Genomic DNA, 19,503 nt, shown 5'->3' with positions numbered 1-19,503 from the left:
AAGCTGTTTATGTTCCCTTTTCACCCAGAATATTTATAGTTAGGCTACTTTTTATGTAGTGTGTGGTGAGTCAGTGATTAAAAAAAAATTTTAGGCATATTTAGAACACAATTTTTGTGTATACAATAATCATCAGTAGTAACAACTGGCTTTAAGTGATTTAAACACTAAATAAGGCACAGCTTAATACAAGCACACGAGGATAAAAGTCAAGAGTAGAATGTTCCATAAAAGATGGCAGGAGAAGAAAAGTAGGATTTTGTTTTATACAGCTTCAGAATCCCACTATGGCAGAAGTGTTCTGTGTGAAGCAGTGCACTTATTTTGGGGACCTCAAAGCAAAGTATTCTGTACGCCCACGTATGGGATCCCTAACCCAGATCCACAGGCAATTAACTGCTACTTCAGATTTTCTGTCAAGACTTTTCTCTGCCTCTGATTGGCATAATGCTAAAACATTTTGCCATGCTTAAAATTTCCAGGTGATTTTAATCTTCCTTTACTTCTTATTGGCAGCAGTGTGTAGTCTTTTATTTTGTTATTCCTGGTGTGTTTTTTAAGCATTCACCTGAACTTTAGGTAAAAAAGCTTCTTTCTTTCATTTTTTTTTTTTAGTGCCATGACTTGAGTTTTTAAAGTTATAAGATAGTAGGGTTTTATTCCATTAAATGATACGTTAAACACTTGAAAACTTTCATGGTAATATTTTTACATATTTGTAGGGAAAGCACTCCTGCCTCCCTTTCTGACATGTTAGAAAAATCTGTTTGCAGAATAATCTGAAGTAAATAAGTGTATATATCCCAGTTACATTTTCTGAAAGTTTTGGTTCCTCTGTACTTTTGTTTTTGTTTGAGACAGGATTTTGCTATGTTGCCTAGGCTGGACTTGAATTCCTGGTCTTGTGCCATCCTCCTTCCCCAGCCTCCTGAATAGTTGGGACTACGGGCACATAACACCACACTCTCTATAGTTTTTGCAAGCTTCTGATGACTTGCTTGATTGTTTTTCTGTGTACTTTCATGTAAATTTACAGGAATTATATCTTAAGAGTTACCTTAAGTTCTTTATGGAAGGTGGTAGAAATATATTTAATTAAATAAATACCTCTTCAGAGACATCATATAAGACGTAGAAATATATTTAATTAAATAAATGTCTCTTCAGAGACATCACATAAGACTTCTGGGTTTTATCTATCTAGGTTTCTGGAGGTAAAGTGTAAACATTTTGGCTATGCTAGTTCCCAAGTTTGGTAATGGGGTTACCGTCTTACAGACTCCAAACTTGTATTCCACAGCTTTATCAAGGTGCAAAAGGCATTTCTGTTTAGGGTACTCTTATACAAGACAAAACATTCCAAGGATACTTTGTACAGATCACCTGACATAATTCAGTTGCCACAGTGACTCAGTCAGAGAGATTGTTAACTGGTTTTAAATAAATCTCAAGTATTGTTACTCTTATACCCACTGTATATAAAGTCAGCTTTAAATTCATTAACAGCACATTTATGTTCTTCTAAACTAAGATTTGAATGTTTTTGATATCTTTATTTCCAATAATTGTCATGGCCCTTTTGAGAGACTGCAAAAGCTCTTAAACCTTGAGCAAAAACAAATATTTTCATTGTTCAACTTCCCTCCTTTCTGGTTGCACATTACTCATGTCCACCTCAGAGCATGAATTAGTTTATGCCAGAATGGATCTTTTCTGTATTGCCTTCATTTTCTGTGATTTTTTTCATTTTTATCTATATTTTGTTGAATACTTTCCAGTTTCTATCCTCAAAAGTATTTACAAAATCTCTTATGTAAATATTCATATCCTTAAAATACAAGTGTAACCTTTATGTTAATTTTTAGGAATTATAATGGTTTTTCATATCTAGGTGAAAAATAAAATGACAAAGGAACAATACATTAAGATGAATAGAGGTATCAATGACAGTAAAGACCTTCCTGAAGAGTATCTATCAGCCATCTATAATGAAATAGCTGGGAAAAAGATATCAATGAAAGAAACAAAAGAACTAACAATCCCTACAAAATCAAGTAAACAGAGTAAGTATCTAAATTAATTGAATTCTGATTGTTCAAGGGGAAAAATATGGGTTCCTAAGAGTTTTTCACTTATGGTCAGGTGTGGTGGTTTGCATTTATAGTCCCCAGCTACTCAGGGAGGCTGAAGCAGAAGGATCACTTGAACCCAGGAGTTCGAGACCAGCATATGCAATATAGCAAGGTTCTTGTCTCTAAAAAAGAAAAAACTTTTTAATTTAAAAGAGAGTTTTTCACTTGATTTAGAATAAAGTAACCTTAGAAATATTGTTTAGAACCATGTTTTGATGAGAAATATTATAATAGAGTTTGGTGATATGATTGTATTTTTTCCCCACATTCTGAAGAAAGATAACACTGACCAGTGATTAATGGAAAATGGTATACATTATATGCATGTGTCAGTGTGCATTTAATATATGCTGATCCATTTAGTAGTTAACCTCAGCAGGGATTTGGAGGTCATAAAGAGTAGTTAGACCCAATAGTCAGGCTTCAACCCTTGTCATTTTTTCTTCTTCCTCATCATCTTCAAGCAATATATTTCCATTTGTTCATCTTTTGTTACACATAAATGGAAGCTGGAAGTAGGGATGATTGGAGGAGGTGGGGAGGTTTAGGATCAGGTGAGAGCTCATAGAGTTAGAAATTTCTACCTCAAACAGACCACAAGTTACATCACTGTAGAGTCCTTAGGTCTAACTAACACCAGGAGGCAACTGTGAACCCAGCCCCCTTCTAGACACTCTATACCTGTGGACAGTGGTAATTAAATTTGAGCTGAAATCTGACTACAGGAATGAGATGAGGGTAGTGGCTCAAGAATATAACAGTAATATAGAAAGAGGATTCCTGCATTTCTGAGCCCTTCCACTTGGAACTAAAATCTCAAGTTTAAACAGAGTACAGTAGTAAAATCCAAATGGCAGGAGAAAAGAATATTATATATTGTATCATCCTCATATTCCTCTTTTTCTGTCCTATTTTATATATGGTGGTAGGAAATAAGAGAAGCTGGAAATGGAAAGGAGATGGTGGTGTGCCGAAAACGCCAAAATTACCCTGGAGTGTTATGGCCAGTTGTTTTCTTGTTAACTCAGGAGCAGTCATTCAAGCCTATGTGGTACAAAGATGCCATTGCCTCTTTTTTTTTTTTTTTTTTTTTTTTTTTGAGATGGAGTTTTGTTGCCCAGGCTGGAGTGCAATGGTGCGATCTTGGCTTGGCGCCACCTTGGCTCACCACAACCTCCGTCTCCTGGGTTCAAGCAATTCTCCTGCCTCAGCCTCCCGAGTAGCTGGGATTACAGGCGTGCGCCACCACACCTGACTAATTTTTTTGTATTTTTAGTAGAGACAGGGTTTCTCCATGTTGGTCAGGCTGGTCTTGAACTCCTGACCTCAGGTGATCCGCCTGCCTTGGCTTCCCAAAGTGCTGGGATTACAGGCATGAGCCACCACGCCCAGCCAGATGCCATTGCATTTTACCTCTCTTCTGCTCTTCTCCCATTCCATATTTGGGTTGTTTCCCTGATAATTGTATTCTGAAAGTGGTACCTACTCGTTTCCCTTTTCATAGGTTTCCACTTCCTGACTCCCAGTCTAGGAATTTTTTTTTTTGAGGTGAAATTCATAGAACATAAAATTAGCCATTTAAAAATGAACAATTCAGTGGCATTTAGTACATTCATAACGTTGTGCAACTACCACCTCTAATTCCAAAAGATTTCATTATCCCAAAATGAAACTCCAAACTCATCAAGCAATTACTCCTTATTCTGTCTCCCCCCAGCCCCTGGAAAATACCAGTCTACTTTCTATTTCTATGGATTTTACCTATTCTGGATTTTTCATATAAGTGTAATCATATAATATGGGATCTCTTGTGTCTTGCTTCTTAGGATTACTTTTAATTACTGGTGGTGTTTATTATTTGATAGTAAAATATCAAAATAGAATTCTTAAATGTTTTATATTTAAAATGCTGATAGTGTTTATTGTTTCAGATGTAGCCAGTGAAAAACAAAGAAGACTTCTGTATAACTTAGAAATGGAGCAGATGGCCAAGACAGCTAAAGCACTCATGGAGGCCGTGAGCCATGTTCAGGCACCCTTTACAAGTGCAACACATTTGGAGCATGTGAGGCCCATGTTTAAGGTTAGAATTTTCAAGTAATGTTTGATTGCAGTGTACATTTATATATAACTACATTTATAATATTTTTAAGTTAAGGAAGCGATACAGTGATATAACACATTAGTGTAGACATATTGAGGTGAAATTCATATAACATGTTATTTAGGACATAGTAGATACAAATTTTCTATTACTTAAAGAGAACAAGAGGAGTTACTCACTATAAGTAATTAATAGTTGTGTAATCTTAGGAATTAAGCAAAGAAAAGTATTGGAGAATGATCATTAATCCTTGGCCTGATTTTCTCTAAATGAGTTATGCTTAAGCCTTTGGAGTTAACTCACATTTCAAATGATCATGAGGCTCTTGTTTTCTTTAAGTGTTTTGGGCCCAGGAACTTATATCAGGCTTCTGAATATGCCTGGGGCCCAGAAAGTAGGGTAAGGAACAGAAGACAATATTATTTGTGTTTGTGGGTTGATTTAGTGAGAATGATACTTATTCTTTAAAATTTGATTTCCCATTCCTTCTTCATTCTCTATCCTTTCTCCAAATTCCAGAGTGAGTAAGCAGTGCATTACTACAAGGGTTGTAGCAAAGTGGAGTAGTGTCTAGTTAAGTTTGAAAAGAGGAAGTGGGTAAAGTATATTCCTGTTCATGAGACAATATGGCAAGGTGGTCTGTGGAGGCTAAAGATCATAATCCGATGCTCACTCTGATTCTAACTACACGTATGTGTGGGTAGTAAAAGATGACTACAGGATTCTTGTGCTTCCTTTTAGCTCCAAAATTTTGTAATTACTCCTACCTCTTCTTCAAGGTCCATGTGATACACTATTTCTAAACGTTGATGAAGAATCACGATGATGAGAGTGAGCTTTTATGATCTGTTCTCTGGATTTGTTATAGTTTATTTAAACATCCTCCAAGCTAGAATTAAGAATCTTTTCCCTCAGTGCCATTTCTGCTACCATTAAGCTACTGCAGACACCCTCATTTCTCCCTCAGATTACTGCGGCATTCTCCTAACAGGCATCTTCATGTCTACTTTTTCACTCCTCTTACCCGTTTATAGAGACCGGAGTGATCTTTTTAAAATACCAAATGAAATGCCAGCTTCTTACTTGAAGCTTTTTATTGGCTTTGCATGATACCATGAAACCTGACACACCCATAGTGTCTGTAGACTTTCTGTGACCTGGCTCCACCTGCCTCTCCAATTCCATCGCTAGATCTCTTCTGTTTCTTACTATGCTGCACTCACACCAGCATTCTTTTGGTTTCTAGAACATCTTAAATTATTTTCTCTTCAGGGCATTCATATGAGGTATGTCCTTTGTCTAGAATGTTCTTTCCTTCTTTGCCTGAGTAGTTTCCAGTTTAAATATCACCCTCTCAGCTAGGCACGGTGGCTTACGCCTGTATTCCCAGCACTTCGGGAGGCCGAGGTGGGTGGATTGCTTCAGGTCAGGAGTTCAAGACCAGGCTGACCAACAAGGTGAAACCCCATCTCTACTAAAAGTACAAAAATTAGCCAGGCTTGGTGGCATGCACCTGTAGTCCCAGGTACTTGAATGCTGAGGCAGGAGAATTGCTTGAACCTGGGAGGCAGAGGTTGCAGTGAGCCAAGATCAGGCCACTGCACTCTAGCCTGGGCGACAGAGTGAGACTCTGTCTGAAAAATAAAAATAAAAATAAAAATAAATATCACCCTCTCTGAGAGTTCTGCACTGTCCCCTCTAATCTAAACTAGGTCCCTAATTCATAATATTCTATGCCTTTCCTTCAGTATATCTGTAGATTTATCTATCCGTCTGTCTATCTGTATATCTGCCTATCTGTGTGCAGACTTGTATGCTCCTCGACTTACGATGGGATTATGTCTCAATAAACCCGTTGTTTAAGTGGAAAATGTATTTAATACACCTAACCTACAGAACATTATAGCTTAGCCTTGCCTGCCTTGAACATGCCCAGGATACTTACCTTAGCCTACAGGTGGGCAAAATCATCTAACACAAAGCCTGTTTTATGCTACAGTACTGAATATCTCATGTAATTTATTGAATACTATACTGAAAATGAAAAACAATAGTTGTATGAATATATTGTAAAGTCAAAAAATGGTAAGTTGAACCATTGTAAGTTGGGAACTGTCTATATATACATTATTTATATACATGTACGAGATAAGGAACTACATCTCTTCACTTGTCCCAACATCAACCATAGTTCCTGGCTTGTGTTAAGTACTCAATGAATAAACATTGGCTGGGTGGAAGGAATGAATGATATATTCCTGGAATGCAATGTATAATATTAAGGGATATAAACTTTTTAAGATAAAGCAAAGACAAAAAAAAGTTTATCTTATTAGAAACAAGATACAGTGTCACTTATAGTCTTCAAACATTATTGCACTTTGTCATAATTTGACAAAGCATTCATGAAACAATCTGTAGACTAGTTTCAACAGACAACACCTGTAAGCAGGCATGACCGTCCTAAATTGTTTACTAGGTATGAATTTTACAAACATTATTTATAGTAATGGTAATGGTGGAGCTGGAGAGTATTGCACCTTCTCTGAGCTGCACAATGAGAACCACTATTCTGTGGGATGTTTCTTCACTTTGTTGATTGTTTCCTTTGCTTTGCAGAAGCTTTTTAACTTGATGTGTCCATTTGTCCATTTTTACTTTGGTTACCTGTGATTGTGGGGTATTCTCAAGAAATCTTTGCCCAGCTTAATGTCCTAGAGAATCCTCAATGTTTTCTTACGGTAGTTTCATAGTTTGAGGTCTTAGATGTAAGTTTTTAATCCATTTTGATCTGATTTTTGTATATGGCAAGATAAAGGAGTCTAGTTTCATTCTTTTGTATATGGATATCCAGTTTTCCCAGCACTGTTTATTGAAGAGACTGTCCTTTCTCCCAATGTATGTTCTTGGTTCCTTTGTCAAAAATGAATTCACTAGATGTATGGATTCATTTTTGGGTTCTCTATTCTGTTCCAGTGATCTACATATCTCTTTTGATGCCAGTACTGTGCCATTTTGGCTACTATAGCTCTGTAGTATAACTTGAAGGCAGGTAATGTGATTTCTTCAGTTTTGTACTTTTTGCTCAGGATAGCTTTGGCTATTCTGGGTCTTTTTTGATTCCATATAAATTGTAGGATTTTTTTTTTCTATTTCTCTGAAGAATGTCATGGTATTCTATAGATTGCTTTGGGTAATATGGACATTTTAGCAATATTGATTCTTCTAATCCATAAACATAAAATATCTTTCAATTTTTCTGGTGTCCTCTTCAGTGTCTTTCATCACTGTTCTGTAGTTTTCATTGTAGGGATCTTTCACGTCTTTGGTTAATTTTTAAAATTTCTTTCTCAGATTGTTCACTGTTGTCAAATAGAAATGCTACTGAATTTTGTATGTTGATTTTTGTATCCTGCAGCTTTACTGAATTTATCAGTTCTAATAGTTCTTTGGTAGAGCGTTCAGGCTTTTCCAAATATAAGATCGTATCACCTGCAAATAGATAATTTGACTTCTTCCTTTCAAGTTCGGATGTCTTTTATTTCTTTCTCTTTTCTGATTCCTCCAGCTAGTTCTTTCAGTACTTTGTTGAATAACAGTGGTGAAAGTAGGCATCCTTGTTGTGTTTCAGACCTTACAGGAAGGGCTTTCTGTTTTTCCCTTTTCAGTACAATACTAGCTGTGGTCTGTTGTATATGGCTTTCATTGTGTTGAGGAATATTCCTTCTATACCTACTTCTTTGAGAGTTTTTATCAAATGCTTTTTCAATCAATTGAAATGATCATATGGTATTGTCTTTCATTCTATTGATATGGTGTATCACATTGATTAATTTGTGTATGTTGAACCATCCTTGCATCCCTGGGATAAATCCCACTTGGTCATGATGAATAATCTTTTAAATGTGTTGTTGAATTTGGTTTGCTGGTATTTTGTTGAGGATTTTTGCATCAATATTCATCAGTGATATTGGCCTGCAATTTTTTTTTTAATGTGTCTTTGTCTGGTTGTGGTATCAGGGTAATACTGGCCTTGTAGAATGAATTTGGAAATATTCCTTCCTACTCTGTTTCTCAGAATAGTTTGAATAGGATTCGTATTAGTTCTTTACATGTTTGGTAGAATTTAGCAGTGAAGCCATCAGATTTCACGCTTTCTTTTGCTGAGAGACTTTTTGTTATGGCTTTGATCTCATTGCTTGTTATTGGTCTGTTCAGGTTTTGAATTTCTTCTTGGTTCAATCTTCATAGATTCTATGTGTCTAGGAATTTATCCATTTCCTTTAGATTTTCCAGTTTACCGGCATGTAGTTGCTCAGAGTAGCCACTAAGAATCCTTTGAATTTCTGTGGTATCAGTTGTAATGTCTCCTTTTTCATCTCTAATTTTATTTATTTGTGTCTTCGGTCTTTTTTTCTTAGTCTTGGTTAAGGTTTGTCAAGTTTATCTATCATTTCAGAAAACCAACTTTTTGTTTTGTTGATGTTTTGTATTTTTAAAATTTCAATTTCATTCATTTGTGCTCTGATCTTTATTTTCTTCTACTAATTTTGGGTTTGATTTGCTCTTGCTTTTCTAGTTCTTTAAGAAACATCATTAGGTTGTTTATTTGGAGTTTTTCTTCTTTTTTGATGTAGACACTAACAGCTATAAAATTTGCTCTTAGGACTACTTTCACTATATTCCATAGGTTTGGGTACGTTGTGTCTTCATTATCATTTGTTTCAATAAATTTTTCAATTTCCTTCTTAATTTCTTCATTGACCCACTGGTCATTCAGGAGCATATTCTTTAATTTTCATGTGTTTGTGTTGTTTCTAAAATTATTCTTGTTACTGATTTCTAGTTTTATTCCGTTGTACCAGAAAGAGGCTTCAGATTCACTTGTTTAAAGTGTTTTCAGATTTGTTTTGAGTCCTAACATATGGTCTATCCTCTAGAATGATCCATGTGCTGAGGAAAAGAATGTGTATGCTACTGCCATTGGATGAAATATTCTGTAAATATCTGTTAGATCCATTTGTTATGTAGTGCAGATTAAATCTGATGTTTCTTTGTTGATCTGCTGGAAGGTCTGTCCAATATGGAAAATGAGGTGTTGAAGTCTCCAGCTGTTACTGTATTGGGGTCTGTCTCTGTCTTTAGCTCTAATAATATTTGCTTTATATATTTGGGTGCAGTGCTGGGTGTGCATATCTATATATATACACACACACACATCCACACACAATTGCTGTATCCTCTTGCTGAATTGACCTCTTTATCATTGCATATTGGCTTTGTCTCTTCCTAGTTTTTGTCTTGAAATATATTTTTTCTGATACAAGTATAGCTACTCCTGCTCTTTTTTGCTTTCCATTTGCATGGAATATCTTTTTCCATCCCTTTATTTTCAGTCGGTTTGTATCATTACAGGTGAAGTGTGTCTCATGTACACAACAGATCATTGGGGCTTGTGTTTTTGTTCATTCAGCCACTATGTATCTTTTTATTGAAGAGTTTAGCCTATGTATATTCAGTGTGACTATTGATAAAGACTTACTCTTCCAATTTTGTTATTTTCTCGTTGTTTTGTGGTCTTTTCTTCTTTCTTTCCTTCTTTCCTGTCTTCCTTTTAGTGAAGGTTATTGTCTCTGATGGTTTGATTTAATTTCTTACTTTTTATTTTTTGTTTATTCATTATAGGTTTTTTTGGTTTGAGGTTACCATGAGGCTTGCAAGTACTATCTTATAACCCATTATTTTAAGCTGATAACACTGCTTGCATAAACAAATAAACAAGCAAAAATAAAACTAATAACTCTACACTTTAACTTTGTTCCCCTGCTTTTTAACCTTTTGTTGTTTTTGTTTATACCTTATTGTACTGCCTGTGTCTTGAAAAGCTGTGAGTCATCTTTCTGTCTTTCTACTTAAGAGTATTTTACATGTCCACAGTTACACAGTGTTATAATACTATATTTTTCTGTGTACTTTTTATAACCAGTGAGTTGTGTACTTTTAGATGATTTCTTCTTACTCATTAATGTCCTTTTTCTGATTGAAGTACTCCCTTTAGCATTTCATGCAGGACATGTCTGGTGTTGATGAAATCCCTCAGCTTTCATTTGTCTGGGAAATTATTTCTCTTTCATGTTTAAAGGATAGTTTCACCAGATATGTACTATTTTCAGGTAAAAGTTTTTTTCCATAAGCACTTTAAATATGTCATACCACTGTATCCTGGCCTGTGTGGTTTCCACTGAATAGTCTGCTGCCAGACATATTGGAGCTTCATTGTATGTTATTTGTTTCTTTTCTCTTGTTGCTTTTAGGATCCTTTATCTTTGACCTTTGTGAGTTTAATTATTAAAAAGCCTTGAGGTAATTGTCTTTGGGTTACATTTGTTTGATGTTCTATAACCTTCTTGTACTGGATACTGTTATTTTTATCTAGGTTTGGGGAGTTCTCTGTTGTTATCCCTTTGAATAAACTTTCTACCTCTATCTCTTTCTCTGCCTCTTTGAAGACCAATAACTTTTAGAATTGCCCTTTTAAAACTATTTTCCAGATTTTATAGGTGTGCTTCATTCTTTTTTCTTTTGTCTCCTCTGACTGTATTTTTTTCAGATAGCCTGTCTTCACGCTTACTAATTCTTTCTTCTGCTTGATCAGTTCTGCTATTAAGAGACTTATGGGGCTGGGAACCGTGGTTTATGCCTGTAATCCCAACACTTTAGGAGGCTGAAGTGGGCAGATCACTTGAGCCCAGGAGTTTGAGACCAGTCTAGGCAACATGGCGAAGCCCCATCTCTACAAAAATTAGCCAGGTATAGTGGCTTGTGCCTGTGGTTCCAGCTACTAGGAAAGCTGAGGTGGGAGGATTGCTTGAGCCTGGGAGGTGGAGGTTACAGTGAGCTGTGATGTCACTTCACTCCAGCCTGAGTAACAGAGTGAGATCCTCAAAAAAAAAAAAAAAAACAACAACAACAACAGAGAGAGAGAGACGAGAGACTCAGTAGTCGAATGTTTTTTTTTTTTTTTTTTTTTTTTTTGAGGTGGAGTCTCGCTTTGTCGCCCAGGCTGGAGTGCAGTGGCATGATCCCGGCTCATTGCAACCTCCGCCTCCCAGGTTCAAGCAATTCTCTCTGCCTCAGCCTCCTGAGTAGCTTGGATTCCAGGCACCTGCCACCATGTCTGGCTGATTTTTTGTATTTTTAGTAGAGACAGGGTTTTGTCATGTTGGCCAGGCTGGTCTCAAAACTCCTGATCTCAGATGATCCACCCACCTCGGCCTCCCAAAGTGCTGGGATTACAGGCGTGAGCCACCACGCCTGGCCTGCATTTTTCAACTGTGGAATTTTGTTTGATTTTTTTTTATTATTTTAATCCTTTTAAAAATTTATCTGATGGAATTCTGAATTTCTTCTGTGTTACCTTGAATTTATTTGAGTTTCCTCAAAACAGCTCTTTTGAATTCTCTGTCAGAAAGGTCACATATATCTCTTTCTCCAGGATTGGTCCCTGGTATTTAGTTCGTTTGGTGAGGTCGTGTTTTCCTGGATAGTCTTGATACTTACAGATGTTCATTGATGTCTGGGCTTTGAGTAATTAGGTGTTTATTGTAGTCTTCTCAGTCTGGGCTTGTTTGTACCCATCCTTCTTGGGAAGGCTTTCTAGGTATTCAAAAGGACTTGATGATACGGTTTGGCTATATCCTTACCAGTCTTGAATTGTAGCTCCCATAATTCCCATGTGTCATGAGAGAGACCCAGTGGGAGGTAATTGAATCATGGGGGCAGGTCTTTTCCCGTGCTGTTCTTGTGATAGTGAATGAGTCTCATGAGAGCCGATGGTTTTATAAAGGGGAGTTCCCCCACACAAGCTCTCTCTTGCCTGCTGCTGTGTTGTAAGACATGATTTTGCTCCTCCTTGCCTTCCACTATGATTGTGAGGCCTCTCAGCCACATGGAACTGAGTCCATTAAGCCTGTTTTTCTTTATAAATTACACAGTGTTGGGTATGTCTTTATTAGCAGCTTGAGAATGGACTAATATACTTGAGTATTGTGATCCATGCCGTATCTGCTTTAGGGGACACCCCAAGTCCAGTAACGGTGGGTTACTTGCAGACTCTGTAGTTCTTGCAGACTCATAGAGGTATCACCTTAGTGGTCTTCAATAACATTCAGAAGAATTCTCTGGATTACCCCCCAGGTTCCAGGCAGGTCCAGAGATACTATCTTGGAGCCAGGGACATGAGTCAGAAACCTTAGGAATCTACCTGGTGTTCAATTCTACTGCAGCTGAGCTGGCACTCAAACTACAAGACACAGTGCTTCCCACTCTTCCCTCCCCTTTTCACAGGCAGAAGAGCCTTAGCCCGTGGCCATCACCACCACAGGCCCACGGAGAGTACTGCCAAGCTACTGCTGATGTTCACAAGGGCCAAGGGCTCTCTCATGAGCTTGTCTTGAATGCTGCCAGGCCGGGACTCACCCTTCAGGGCAGTGGGCTTCCCTCTGGCCCAGGGCAGGTACAGAAATGCCATCCCAGAGCCAAGGCCTGGAATAAGGTCTCCAAGAGCCCACTTGTTGCTCTACCCTTCTGTGGCCAAGCTGGTACCTAAAGTGCAAGACAAAATCCCTTTACTTTTTCCTCTGCAAGAAGAAGGAGTCCCTCCCCATAGCCACCACAGCTGGGAATGTACTGAGTCTCACCCGAGTCCCACAGTGTACTATCTGGATATCACTCTGGCTATTCAGGGCCCAGGGGCTCTTTAGTCAGCAAATAAGGGATCCTGTGAGGACTGGGCCATTCCCTTCAAGGCAGTGGGTTCCCTTCTGGCCTAGGATGTGTCTAGAAATCAGAGCTAGGGCCTGGAAAGGAGGCCTCACACCTCTGCCTGGTGCCCTGTCCTGCTGTGGCTGAGCTGGTTTTAGAGATGCAAGACAAAGTCCTCTTTATTCTTCCCTCTCCTTTCCTTAAGTATGAGAAGGGAGTCTGTTTTGGAGCTACAAGCTATGCTTGGGGGAGGGGTGATGCCAGCACTCCCTTAGCCACTCTAGCTGGTGTCTCAGTAGGTTGTGTATCCTCCACGTCCACTGCCTCCAAGCCCAGCACAGCTAGGCCTTGCCTAGGAGTTGCAGTCCTTGTGGCCTAGACTGACTTTCAGGTTTATTTAGGGCCCCAGAACATTTTAGTCCATGCTGGTGTGGCTTGCTGGAACTCAGGTTCCTACTGCTAGGATGGGTGATGCCTGTCTGGCTGTGGCTCGTCTGAATGCTTCCTCTGTGGGTGGGCATCAGCTCAGTTCAGCTCAGTTTTGCTTTCTACTGTGACAGGATGGCACTGAGTTCAATGTAAAGTCTCACAGTTGCTGCACTGTCCCTCTCCCAAGTACACAGATTTTCTCTCTGCAGCATAGGGCCGCTGATGGGAGACGGGGGAGGGATGGCGTTGGGATTTAAGACTGTCTTTCCTACCCCTTCAATGTCCCTTTCAGTGATATCAAGTTAAAACCAGCTACTGTGAGTGCTCACCTGTTTCTCGGTTCTTATGAAGGTGTTTTTTTTGTGTGTAGATAGTTGTTAAATTTGGTGTTCCTGCATGGGGGATGATTGGTGGAGCTCTCTTTTTGGCCCTCTTGTTCCTGCATATTATCCATTTTTAAGAATTTTTTAATGTATTGCCAAACGGTGTTCCACAAAGGTTCGTACAGTTATGAGTGCACAGTTTAACTATTGCCTGGATATTATTTAGTTGTAATTTGATAGGAGGAATCATTGTCTTTGATTCCTAAAGGAGTTAAACATTTTTTTTTTCACTGCCTTAAGAACCGTTTGTATCTCTTCTTGTATAAAATATAACACAGGCTTCCAAATAGATACACTGTTTCTCCACAGAATGTGTAAGTTATTGCTGTCATATGGTACTTTGTAGTTTAGAAGTACGGCACTTATGTTTCTCTCAGCTTCTCTCTGTAGTGGCAGTTCAAATATAATAGATGAAGAAAAGTGAGGTTCAGAGAGATTAAATAAGTGGCGGAGCTGAGACTAGAACCTAGGTTCTATGACTTATGTTTTTTTTGTTTAGAGATTATAAATGTTTACTTCTCAACTTTCTGAAGTTTAGAAACAAAGCTCTGGGTAATTGTTTTCCTTAGTAATGCTAAATGCTTTATAGATCTTTTAGAAATTCGATTGTAATTTCTATAGCGCACTGATAGAAACATTTTTCATCTTTATGGCTATATGGCTATATAGTTTTTCTTTATGATGACCACTTAAAAGCAGTTGAATACTTTCACATGAGACATTTCAAGGTTATGTATTTTATTAGAATTTTCAGTGGCCAAAAAGTAGCGTCTTTTTTGCTTTATATTGTAACTTCATTCAGGATTCAAAGTTTTGATAGTAAAATTTCAGTAAGTATTTGTTGTCTTCCACAGTGTATAATGAGGAAGTATTTTATTTAACTACTTTTTAAATATTGTCCAACTGGAAACCAGAAATATCACTGATGTCTCAATGTAAAATATTTAACTATTTTTTAAAAATTAGGCTAAATGATGTTCAGGGAATGGGCTTAAAGAAAAGATAATAATGTTGTTTGTTGCAAGTAGGAAAATGATTAACAGGATCTTACTGGAAATAGTGTGAAATATTGCAAGAGACAAAGCTTACAAAGAGAGAGGAGTTCTGAAGTCGGGTAAAACTAATATTTTTATGAATATTGATTATTTCCATTTTTAAATTGATGTGAATAATTTATAGGTACAGTTCTTAAAATATGCCTAAGGTCCTCTATTGAATGTATTATTTTGCTCTCCCATTTATTCAAGCCCAGGCAGCATTATATAGTTTTCCCCCTTTGTTTAAGAAAGCTTTCTAGATAACTGCCAAGAATTTCATTTCTTTTTTTCAGAACTTGTATTGTCTAAAAGATTTGAGAAATTTTAATGTGTTATCATAATCTTTAATTAAAATACAATTTTTAATTTTTGTAGTTGGCTTGGACGCCTTTTCTGGCTGCATTCAGTGTGGGTCTACAAGATTGTGATGATACTGAAGTAGCCTCTCTTTGCCTGGAAGGTATAAGATGTGCAATCAGAATTGCATGCATTTTCAGCATTCAGGTAACAGAGAATTTTGTCTTTGTAGCCAGTTTGGAACATTAATTACCTATGCCATTACAATAGTTTAAATTACAATAATTGTTTATGTGTGACATTAAAAACTAATTTCAAGTTTATGATGGAATTTAAATGAATCTTAATGTTTAAGCTTCTGAGAAGCTGTTATAGAAGGGGTAGTTCTATACTGATCTGTCTAAGTTTATCATTATAACTTTGGTTACAGTTTTTTTTCTCTATTGAAGACTATACAGAAAGTTTTCAAGACTTTGAATTCCTATGTTAATTTGAACATCTTGTTTAAACGAATAAAATATCTTGTTGAATCATAGTTTATATACAAGGTTGTATATATTTTATATGATTTCATAACTTAAGCCTAAGAACAGGTTATCTTTAAGACATGTAAATATTGAATACATAATTTTCATGAAAGAAGTCCTTTCTAGTAATTTATATGCTTTGAGGAACTTTTAAAAAAAGAAAAATTCATTCAACATTTAATTATAAATGCTAATGGCTTGCAAAAAGTATAGCGTAGCTGTGGAGAAAATGAGCAAATGTATAAATCATGTTTTTGCTAATCTAGTAATCAAAACAAAAGTGCTTAATGAATTTTTTTTTTTTACTGTGTGAATTCATTGGTTATCACTAAAAATCTCAATTTGACACCACCACTGCCTTTGGATTTTAGAAATGTATGTCGTTTCTGCTTCATGCATCATCTTAAAATGAATGAAAATAAAAAACTTGTGGAATTATATGTAATTCATGACAAGTAAAACTTACTAAACTTACAAGTTACTGAACTTACGAGTTTAGGAGTGGAGGTTTAATAGGCAAAAGAAAGGGAAAGGAGGGCCAGGCATGGTGGCTCAAGCCTGTAATCCCAGCACTTTGGGAGGTCGAGGCGGGCAGATCACGAGATCAGGAGTTCGAGACCAGCCTGGCCAACATGGTGAAACCCCGTCTCTACTAAAGATACAAAAAATTAGCTTGGCATGGTAGTGGGCGCCTGTAATCCCAGCTACTCGGGAGGCTGAGGCAGAAGAATCATGTGAACCTGGGAGGCGGAGGTCGCAGTGAGCCGAGATTGCGCCATTGAACCCCAGCCTGGGCGACAGGGTGAGACTCTGTCTCAAAAATTAATAAATAAATTAAAAAAAAAAAAAACAAAATCTTACTGAACAAGTAAACAGAGTTTGTTGGTGGGGAATTAATCAGTCTGCTCTATTTAGAACTGTGTAAACATACTTTTCTCTTTTTTATAGCTGGAGAGAGATGCATATGTCCAGGCACTAGCAAGATTTACCTTACTCACAGTGAGTTCCGGTATTACTGAAATGAAACAGAAGAACATTGACACAATAAAAACACTTATCACAGTGGCTCATACAGATGGAAATTATTTAGGAAATTCATGGCATGAGGTATAAGCACTTTATTTTCAACTTTGCAATTTGGTTTATAAAATGAGCTAATGCTAAATAGTCCATCATTGACATGCCTAAATGTTAGGGGAGAAAATTAGTACATTTCGAATAAGTACGTTTAGCTTTTTAAAATAATCTATAGTGTAGTCTGTGTTTAAGTCCTGGCTGCATATATTTAAATCTTTTTGAAGATATTTTTAACATGGAATTTAACATTTTTTTCCTTTTTGTAATTAAGATTCTGAAGTGCATCAGTCAGTTGGAGCTGGCACAGCTTATAGGAACTGGAGTGAAACCTCGATACATTTCTGGAACAGTGCGAGGCAGAGAAGGATCTCTTACTGGAACAAAAGATCAGGCTCCTGATGAATTTGTGGGTTTAGGGCTAGGTGAGAATTTTTACAAAGTATCAAAAATTGTTTTTAACTTCCTCATTATAAGTCACTTTATTGTAGTAATGAAATATAATTAGAAGGAGAAGATAAAATGCCTTTTGTCTAACCTTATGAGAAAAAGCAAGATGACTAAGGAACTAAATCTTTTTTGCCTGGTCTGGTTTGCAACATTAAATGACCCTTAGTTTCAGGCTTCTCTCTGGTTGTTGGAGAAGGATACAGTGTGTAGAGTTTTTAAATTACTTGCTTTTAAAAATAAGCAGGTAACTTGAATGTGTGAAAGCTGGTATCAGGTAATAGTTGGGGCAACTGGAGAAAGCATTCACATTTAATTGTTAAAGCAATGAGCAGGCCTAACCAGCCTTTCTGCCAGTATGAAACCTCTCCCCATGGCTCCCCATGCGCTCAATATGACCAGGAACTTCCACATTTAAACCAGTAGAACAAAAGAAAACATTAGCAAAAATGGGTAGAGAAGAATGAAAAGCAATACATTTTTTAGTCATAAATGGAAGGAGTTCCACCAGGGAAGAAACAGAGCTTATTAGACTTTGACCTTAAGTATTTCTGGGTTTGAATTCTTCTGTATTTTTTCCTTATTATGTGTAAGTTACTTTAGTTCGCCGAGATTCAATTTCTGCTTTTGCAAACAAAGTAATATCTAATCATAGGATTGTTAGGATTAAATAAGAATATATATGACTGGACTTAGCATAATGGCTGGTATATTCGAAGTTTCTAGATATTCTCTGTCCATCCCTCCCCAACCCCCCACCTCCAACCAATCTGGACGCATTACTTAGAGCAGGAATCTTCTATCTTTTAGTGATTCCTCTGTTGCTGCTAGCAGTGAAAATTCTTAGAAACCCCAAAAGAATTTCAAACTTTATAAAGGATCCATAGGAAAAGAATTAAAAACCAGGACCATGATATGGCTTCAAGTTGGACTGGGGAAAACTAATTCCCAGTGGTAATCAACTGAAGCAGCTAGCAATGCAGTCTGTCCCTCCATGATAGCATAGATGCTATAGTATTGTAAGGTCTGGGAGGTGCAGGTGTAGACTTGATACCTTGGTGATCTAGCAGTAAGATTTAGAACTACCTGAGCACCTGCACAATGATTAGAAGCCCAACTTTATACATTAGAACTGTAATTACTCCATGGGGTAACATGAGATGCAGATGAAAACTATTTTCAGGCAAGGGAAGTGAATGTGCACTGATTGGCTCAGTAACTTTGAAAAGGCCTAGAGAGTGTGGGAATGCCAAAATAATGACAGGTGTTAATTGCTGGGCCTGAGTTTTGGCAAGTAGGACTACAGAATTAGGTTACACTAAAAATAAAACACCAGTGGGATATCTTCTAGAAGTTTTAGTCAAACGAGAAATAATGATACTTGCTGATAATATTTACTGGTATACTTGAAAATGAATTAAAATTAATTCATGTACTGTGCTACTTAGGTTGCAAGGATATGAGATGAACTGTCTTCTCCCTTCAGAAAAAGGGAATTTACAGAAAGATACACACATTGAGGCCTAGAAATGAAAAACAGTTCAGGCTTCCAGACCATTCTCAAGACCAGTAACACTTATTTTATGCCTTATTTAGGTTTTCTCTGTTATGTACTTCTCTTTTTGGTCTGCACCATTCTCTGCTCAGTCCTGACTCCATGCTCCATTTTGAATCCACATCCTAGAAGGAGCTAGTCTGTGGACTTGGCCCCTGTTGGGCAGAGCCCTCCCGTTGGGCCGTCCCGTTGGATAACCAGCCAACCCATGTGGCAAATGGCTACCCTTGTCCCCCTGTGCCTACCAAGGTCAGACAGCAGATGCTTTCTGGAGCAGAATGTTGTCATCAGAATTTAAGCTAGAAGAAGATGTGGTACAGTCAAGCCAGTTTAGTCTGCATATACAGTGGATACATATATATATATATATATATATATATATATATATATATATATATATTTTTTTTTTTTTTTTTAACTAATATCTTTTTTTTTTTTTTTTTTTTTTGAGTCACAGTCTCACTCTGTCACCCAGGCTGGAGTGCGGTGGTGCGATCTCAACTCACTGCAACCTCTGCTTCCTGGGTTCAAGTGATTCCCCTGCCTCAGCCTTTTGAGTAGCTGGGATTACAGGGGTGTGCCACCACACCTAGCTAATTTTTTTTGTTGTTTGTTTGTTTGTTTGTTTGTTTTAGTAGAGACAGGGTTTCACCATGTTGGCCAGGTTGATCTTGAACTCCTGACCTCATGTGATCTGCCCGCCTTGGCGTCCCAAAGTGCTGGGATTACAGGTGTGAGCTACTGCGCCCGCCCAT

At 37.4% G+C, this 19,503-nt stretch overlaps 1 protein-coding gene across 17 annotated transcripts in view, besides 1 other annotated feature; it reads left to right on the top strand.

Annotated features, from left to right (window-relative positions):
- ARFGEF1 (ARF guanine nucleotide exchange factor 1) overlaps positions 1-19,503 on the top strand; it is a 170,271-nt gene that overhangs the window by 88,268 nt on the left and 62,500 nt on the right. For 16 of the 17 annotated variants that reach the window (NR_182117.1, NM_001413186.1, NM_001413187.1 and 13 more), the window contains 5 exons: positions 1,892-2,063; positions 4,064-4,215; positions 15,224-15,352; positions 16,621-16,779; positions 17,021-17,171. Coding sequence is in view for 16 of the 17 variants with exons in the window: in NM_001413186.1 (NP_001400115.1) it covers positions 1,892-2,063; positions 4,064-4,215; positions 15,224-15,352; positions 16,621-16,779; positions 17,021-17,171 (763 nt within the window). In the remaining variant the exon portion in view is untranslated. The remainder of the gene's footprint in view (positions 1-1,891; positions 2,064-4,063; positions 4,216-15,223; positions 15,353-16,620; positions 16,780-17,020; positions 17,172-19,503) is intronic. The other variant, NM_001413190.1, reaches the window with a different exon arrangement.
- Positions 13,097-13,894: an enhancer, noted in NCBI's record as "H3K27ac hESC enhancer chr8:68153855-68154652 (GRCh37/hg19 assembly coordinates)". NCBI's record gives its function as "activates a minimal SCP1, AML or CMV promoter by ChIP-STARR-seq in naive H9 embryonic stem cells {active_cell/tissue: H9 hESC(naive)}" and the evidence as "EXISTENCE:reporter gene assay evidence [ECO:0000049][PMID:30033119]".

Source organism: Homo sapiens, chromosome 8 (assembly GCF_000001405.40).
Source record: "Homo sapiens chromosome 8, GRCh38.p14 Primary Assembly".
Lineage (NCBI taxonomy): Eukaryota > Metazoa > Chordata > Mammalia > Primates > Hominidae > Homo > Homo sapiens.
This window is presented reverse-complemented; position numbering and strand designations above follow the sequence as displayed.